This window comes from Homo sapiens, chromosome 14 (assembly GCF_000001405.40).
Source record: "Homo sapiens chromosome 14, GRCh38.p14 Primary Assembly".
NCBI lineage: Eukaryota > Metazoa > Chordata > Mammalia > Primates > Hominidae > Homo > Homo sapiens.
The window spans coordinates 34,739,938-34,746,592 of record NC_000014.9 but is presented as its reverse complement, the minus strand read 5'-3'; the positions used below and the strand labels follow the sequence as shown (position 1 = coordinate 34,746,592).

General features: G+C 44.1%; 1 pseudogene; it reads left to right on the top strand.

Annotated features, from left to right (window-relative positions):
- On the top strand, window positions 5,689–6,302 carry RPL12P6 (ribosomal protein L12 pseudogene 6; annotated as a pseudogene).

The following is a 6,655-nucleotide window of genomic DNA, read 5'->3' as shown; positions in this document are numbered from 1 at the left end:
CCTGTAACCCCATCACTAGAAGGCCGAGGCAGGCAGATCACCTGAGGTCAGGAGTTCGAGACCAGCCTGGCCAACATGGTGAAACCCCATCTCTAATAAAAATACAAAATTAGCCGGGTGTGGTGGCACATGCCTGTGTAATCCCAGCTACTTGAACCCAGGAGGCAGAGGTTGCAGTGAGCTGAGATCGCACCACAGCACTCCAGCCTGGGTGACAGAGCAAGACTCCATCTCGAAAAAAAAAAAGAATAAGTGGTCTTTAGACAGACTTCCATTTCTGGTAAGACGAAGCAGGCATCTTCTCTCCTATTCCTCCCACTCAGTATAGCTAAAAACCCTGGACGTTCTATATAAAACAAAAATAAGACTGAAAGGTGACAATAAGTCAGACTGACTAAAGGACCTTGGGACCAGAGGAAAGACAGTGGTAAGTTCCCTAGGTTTTCTTTTTGACTTATATATCAGACTTGATGCTAAAGAAGCGGAAACTTGAAAATGCCAAGTGGCACAGACGAAGTGTAAAGCCACAACAAAAGCCTCTCTAGCCAAAGAACTAGGACAGGGGCAGCCTAATAAGACAGAAAACCTAGACAATAACCACTATCCCAGCCAAACACCACAAAAAACAAACCAACCAACCAACCCTGGCCCTACCCATATCCACACCAACAAAGAACAAGCAGGGAGTCTACACTTCCATCCCCAGAAGGATAAAATGAGGCGGTACAGTGCACCCACCGGAGTGGTGTCAGAGAAGTAAGGAACAAGAAAGGCAAAGTAAGGAACCTGGCCTTTCATCCCTGCTGGCAGAAATGAGATACCCCCAATCCCTCCCAGTGTCAGTACAGACCGTCTGGGGGGCTGATTCACACATCTGCCCACCAATAGCAAGGAGCACCCCCTTTCTGGTGTCAAAGAGGCTGGCAGGAGAACTTGGACTTCTACTTGTATCTGGCAGTTACAAGGAAGCAACCCAGCTTTCTTTGCCAGAATGGTGTCACAGAAAGCCAGCTAAAACTAGGTTTAAATAAGGTATTAAGTCTCATCATGGGCTGGGCATGGTGGCTCATGACTGGAATCCCAGCACTTCGGGAGGCCAAAGCCGGCCAAACCCAGGAGTTCGACACCAGCTTGGGCAATATGGCAAAACCTGTCTCTACAAAAAATACAAAAATTAGCTGGGCATGCTGGCACATGCCTGTGGTCCCAGCTACTCGGGAGGCTGAGGTGGGAGAATCGCTTGAGTGTGGGAGGTGGGGGTTGCAGTGAGCCGAGAGCAAGCCACTGCACTCCAGCCTGAATGACAGATTGAGACCCAGACATTTTTATACTGTTATGAGACTTTATTTTTATTTTTTTGCAACAAAAAATAAAAGGCTCATAACAATACGAAAATGTCCGCATTTCAATAAAAAATCATTCATACGAAGAACCAAGAAGATTGAAACTGAATGAAAAAAAAGATGTCAACACCAAAATGACATGTTAGAACAATTGACAAAGATTTTAAAGCAGCCATGATGAAAATGCTTCAATGAGCAATTATGAACATCCCTGAAACAAATAAAGTAGCTTCAGTGTACTAGTTTCCTATTGCTGCCATAACAAATCACCACAAATTCACCAGCTTAATGCAGATTCGTTAGCTGTAGGTTAGAAGTCTGACATGGGTCTTAACTGGGCTAAATCAATTTGTCCACAAGGCTGTTACTTTGTAGAGACCCTAAGGGAGAATCTATTTCCTCGCTCCTTCCAGCTTCTACCCACATTCCTCGGCATGTAGCCCTCTTCCTCCATCTTCAAAGCCAGCAACATGACATCTCTGTGCCTTTCTGTCACATCTTCCTCTAACCACAAGCAGGAAAGTTTCTCTGATTTTAAGGACCCATGTAATTAGATTGCACCCACCAGACAATCCAAGCTAATCCCCCTGTTCAAATCCTCAAGCACATTATTTTAAAGTTTATTTTGCCATGTAGAGTAACATATTCACAGTTCCAGGGATTAAGACATGGACATCTTTGGAGGACCATTCTGCCTACTGCACTCAGCAAAGAAATACAAAGTCTCAGAATACAGAAGTTATGAAGAAGAACCAAATGGAAAATTTAGGGCACAGTAACCAAAAGAAAAATCTCAGTGGATGGACCCAACAGGACAATGGAGGAGAGAGAGGAAAGAATCAGTAAACTAGAATACATATTACCCAATCTGAGCAACAGAGAAAAAACAGATTGAACAAAATTGAACATGACCTTAGGGAACTATAATAAAAAAAAAACTAACATTCATGTCATCAGAGTTGCCAAAGCAGAGGAGAAAAAAGGTGGGACTAACAAAGCCCTCAAAGAAATAACTCAAAATTCCCCAAGAGACAACCCACAGATTCAAGAAGGTGAACAAACTCTGAAAAGGATAAACCCAAAGAAATCCATGCCAAGACATCATAATTAATTTTCTGAAAACTAAAGACAAAAAAATCTTGAAAATAGCCAGCAGAAAATGAGTGACATTTTACGTATAAGGGGAAATCAATTAGAACACACTAGAAAATGGTGGGAGAAAGAAGTGGCGCAATATTTTTCAGGAACAAACTGTTCGAGTTTTGTTCAAAAACAAAACTGTTGGCCGGGCACAGTGGCTCACGCCTGTAATCCCAGCACTCTGGGAGGCCAGGGCGGGTAGATCACTTGAGGTCAGGATTTCGAGACCAGCCTGGCCAACATGGTGAAACCCCATCTCTACTAAAAATACAAAAATTAGCCGGGCATGGTGGCATGCACCTGTAATCCCAGCTACTCAGGAGGCTGAGACAGGAGAATCACTTGAACCCAGAGGTAGAGGTTACAGTGAGCCAAGATTACACTACTGCACTCCAGCCTGGGCAACAAGAGTGAGATTCTTTCTCAAAAAAAAAAAAAAAAAAAAAAAGGCCAGGCGTGGTGGCTCCCGCCTATAATCCCAGCACTTTGGGAGGCTGAGGTGGGCAGATCATGAGGTCAGGAGATCAAGACCATCCTGGCTAACACGGTGAAACCCCATCTCTACTAAAAATACAAAAAATTAGCCAGGAGTGGCGGCAGGCACCTGTAGTCCCAGCTACTTGGGAGGCTGAGGCAGGAGAATGGCGTCAACCCGGGAGGCAGAGGTTGCAGTGAGCCGAGATCATGCCACTGCACTCCAGCCTGGGCGACAGAGCGAGACTCCATCTAAAAATAAAAATTAAAAAAAAGAAGTTATCTAGGCTGGGTGGAGTAGCTCACACCTCTAATCTCAGCACTTTGGGAAGCTGAGTTAGGATGATCATTTGAGCTCAGGAGTTCGAGATCAGCCTGGGCAATATGGTGAAACACTGTCTCTACAAAAAATACAAAAATTAGCCAGGAGTGGTGGCTCATGCCTGTGGCCCCAGGTACTTGGGAGGCTGAGACAGAAGTATCACTTGAACCCAGGAAGTAGTGGTTGCAATAAGCTGAGATCTGGTCATTGCACTCCAACCTGGACACTAGACAGAGACACTGTCTCAAAAAAAAAAAAGAGAGAGAGAGAGATTGGCCAAGAACTATGAGTTGTGGGTAGGGAGGGCTGAATAAATAAGAGTGCAGGGGATTTTTTTTTTTTAAATACAGGGTCTCACTCTGTCACCAGGCTGGAATGCAGTGGCACAATCTCAGCTCGCTGCAGCCTCAAACTCCCCAGATTCAGGTGACCCTCCCACCTCAGTCTCCTGAGTAGCTAGGACCACAGGCACACGCCACCATGCCCGGCTAATTTTTGTATTTTTGGTAGAGATGGGGTTTCGCCATGTTACCCAGGCTGGTTTCGAAATCCTCAGCTCAAGCGACCCACCTGCCTTGGCCTCCCAAAGTGCTGCAATGATGGCACCCAGCCAAGAATGTTAACCTGAAGTGTGCATGCGTTTAGGGCCACAAAATATATGAAGCAAAAGCTGATAGAACTGAAAGGAGAAATAGACAAACCTACAGTTACAGACGGAGACTTCAACACTTCCCTCTTAACAATTACTAGAACAACTAGGCAGAAAATCAGCAATGATATAAAAGAACTAAACAATAACATCAACCAGTAACATACAGGCTTAGAAAAACTCCACCCAACAACAGAACACAACAACAGAACATACACCAAGACAGATCATATCCTGGGCCATAAAACAAACCTTAAATTTAAAAGAACTGAAATTATGTAAAATGTAATCTGTGGCCACAATGAAATCAAACTAGAAATCAATAATGGAAACATAACAGGAAAATCTCCAAACTAAACAAAATACTTTTAGATAATCCATGGGTCAAAGAGGAGGTAAAAAAAATTGAGAAAAAAAAAGAGAATACAATAAACAAAATGAAAAAATAGATATATTTTCCCCCAAGCTATATGCTTCTACCTTAATACTCTTCCTCTATTTCATTTCAGGTTTTTTCACTCTAAAGTCTAAACTAACTAGGTCAGAGTCTTCAAAGTATTGCATTTGTTTAACTGGCATAATAATGCTATCTCAGCATAAACTATGGTAAAGGTTCCACCAGTCCAGGCCATTTTTGACAACTTCTTGGAAGGAAATGGGCAAACCACAAATCAAAAGAACATCCGCATCTGAAAATCCACCCTGTATAATAGTAGAAGGCAAGAGATCTGTAACTAAAGCTAGTTATAAGTTGATGGACTCACTATGAACAATTTGGCTACATCTGGTAGAATTACAGAAAGCATGTAGAGTTCACATGTGTTAGAAATCCTAGAAGATCAAAGACTCTTAGCTTGAACTCTTTCTTAGTAGAGCTAAAAATGTATGTCACTCGGCCAGGCACGGTGGCTCACGCCTGTAACCCCAGCACTTTCGGAGGCCAAGGCAGGAGAATCACAACGTCAGGAGTTCAAGACCAGCCTGGCCAACATGGTGAAACCCCGTCTCTACTAAAAACACAAAAATTAGCTGGGCGTGGTGGCATGCACCTATAATCCCAGCTACTCAGGAGGCTGAGGCAGGAGAATTGCTTGAACCCGGGAGGCAGAGGTTGCAGTGAGCCGAGATCACGCCACTGCACTCCAGCCTGGGTGACAGAACAAGACCCTGTCTTGGAAAAAAAAAAAAAAAAAGTGAAGACCATGGGAAAGGCGCAGTATCTGGCCTGGAGTGCAGTGTTCCTCATGGCACAGTCCCTTAGTGGGACTTCCTTGGCTAGGGGAGGGAGTTCCCCAACCCCTTGTGCTTCCCAGGTGAGGCAACACCCCACCCTGCTTCGGCTTGCTGTCTGTCGGCTGCACCCACTGTCCAACCAGTCCCAATGAGATAAATCAGGTACCTCAGGTGGAAATGCAGAAATCACCCACCTTCCACATCAGTCTCGCTGGGAGCTGCAGACCAGAGCTGTTCCTATTTGGCCATCTTGCCAACAATTCCCTTAAGAAACTCACTCAAAACCACACAACTACATGGAAACTGAACAACCTGCTCCTGAATGAGTACTGGGTAAATAACGAAATTAAGGCAGAAATAAGTAAGTTCTTTGAAACCAATGAGAACAAAGACACAATGTACCAGAATCTCTGGGACACATCTAAAGCAGTGTTTAGAGGGAAATTTATAGCATTAAATGCCCACAAGAGAAAGCAGGAAAGATCTGAAATCGACACCCTAACATCACAATTAAAAGAACTAGAGAGCTCTCGGCTTTCGGCTTGGAGGAGGCCAAGGTGCAACTTTCTTTGGTCATTCCGCACCAGCCGCCTCCACCATGCCGCCAAAGTTCGACCCCAACGAAATCAAAGTCGTATACCTGAGGTGCACCGGAGGTGAAGTCGGTGCCACTTCTGCCCTGGCCCCCAAGATCGGCCCCCTGGGTCTGTCTCCAAAAAAGGTTGGTGATGACATTGCCAAGGCAACGGGTGACTGGAAGGGCCTGAGGATTACAGTGAAACTGACCATTCAGAACAGACAGGCCCAGATTGAAGTGGTGCCTTCTGCCTCTGCCCTAATCATCAAAGCTCTTAAGGAACCACCAAGACACAGAAAGAAATAGAAAAACATTAAACACCGTGGGAATATCACTTTTGATGAGATCGTCAACATTGCTTGACAGATGCGGCACTGATCCTTAGCCAGAGAACTCTCTGGAACCATTAAAGAGATCCTGGGGACTGCCCAGTCTGTGGGCTGTAACGTTGATGGCCGCCACCCTCATGACATCATAGATCACATCAACATTGGTGCTGTGGAATGCCCAGCCAGTTAAGCACAAAGGAAAATATTTCAGTAAAGAATCATTTGACAACTGGTGAAAAAAAAAGAACTAGAGAAGAGAAGCAAGAGCAAACAAATTCAAAAGCTAACAGAAGACAAGAAATAACTAAGATCAGAGCAGAACTGAAAGAGATAGAGACATGAAAAACCGTTCAAAAGATCAATGAATCCAGGAGCTGGTTTTTTGAAAAGATCAACAACATAGATAGACTGCTAGCCAGACTAATAAAGAAGAAAAGAGAGAAGAATCAAATAGATGCAATAAAAAATGATAAAGGGGATATCACCACTGATCCCACAGAAATACAAACTACCATCAGAGAATACTATAAACACCTCTACGCAAATAAACTAGAAAATCTAGAAGAAATGGATAAATTCCTGGACACA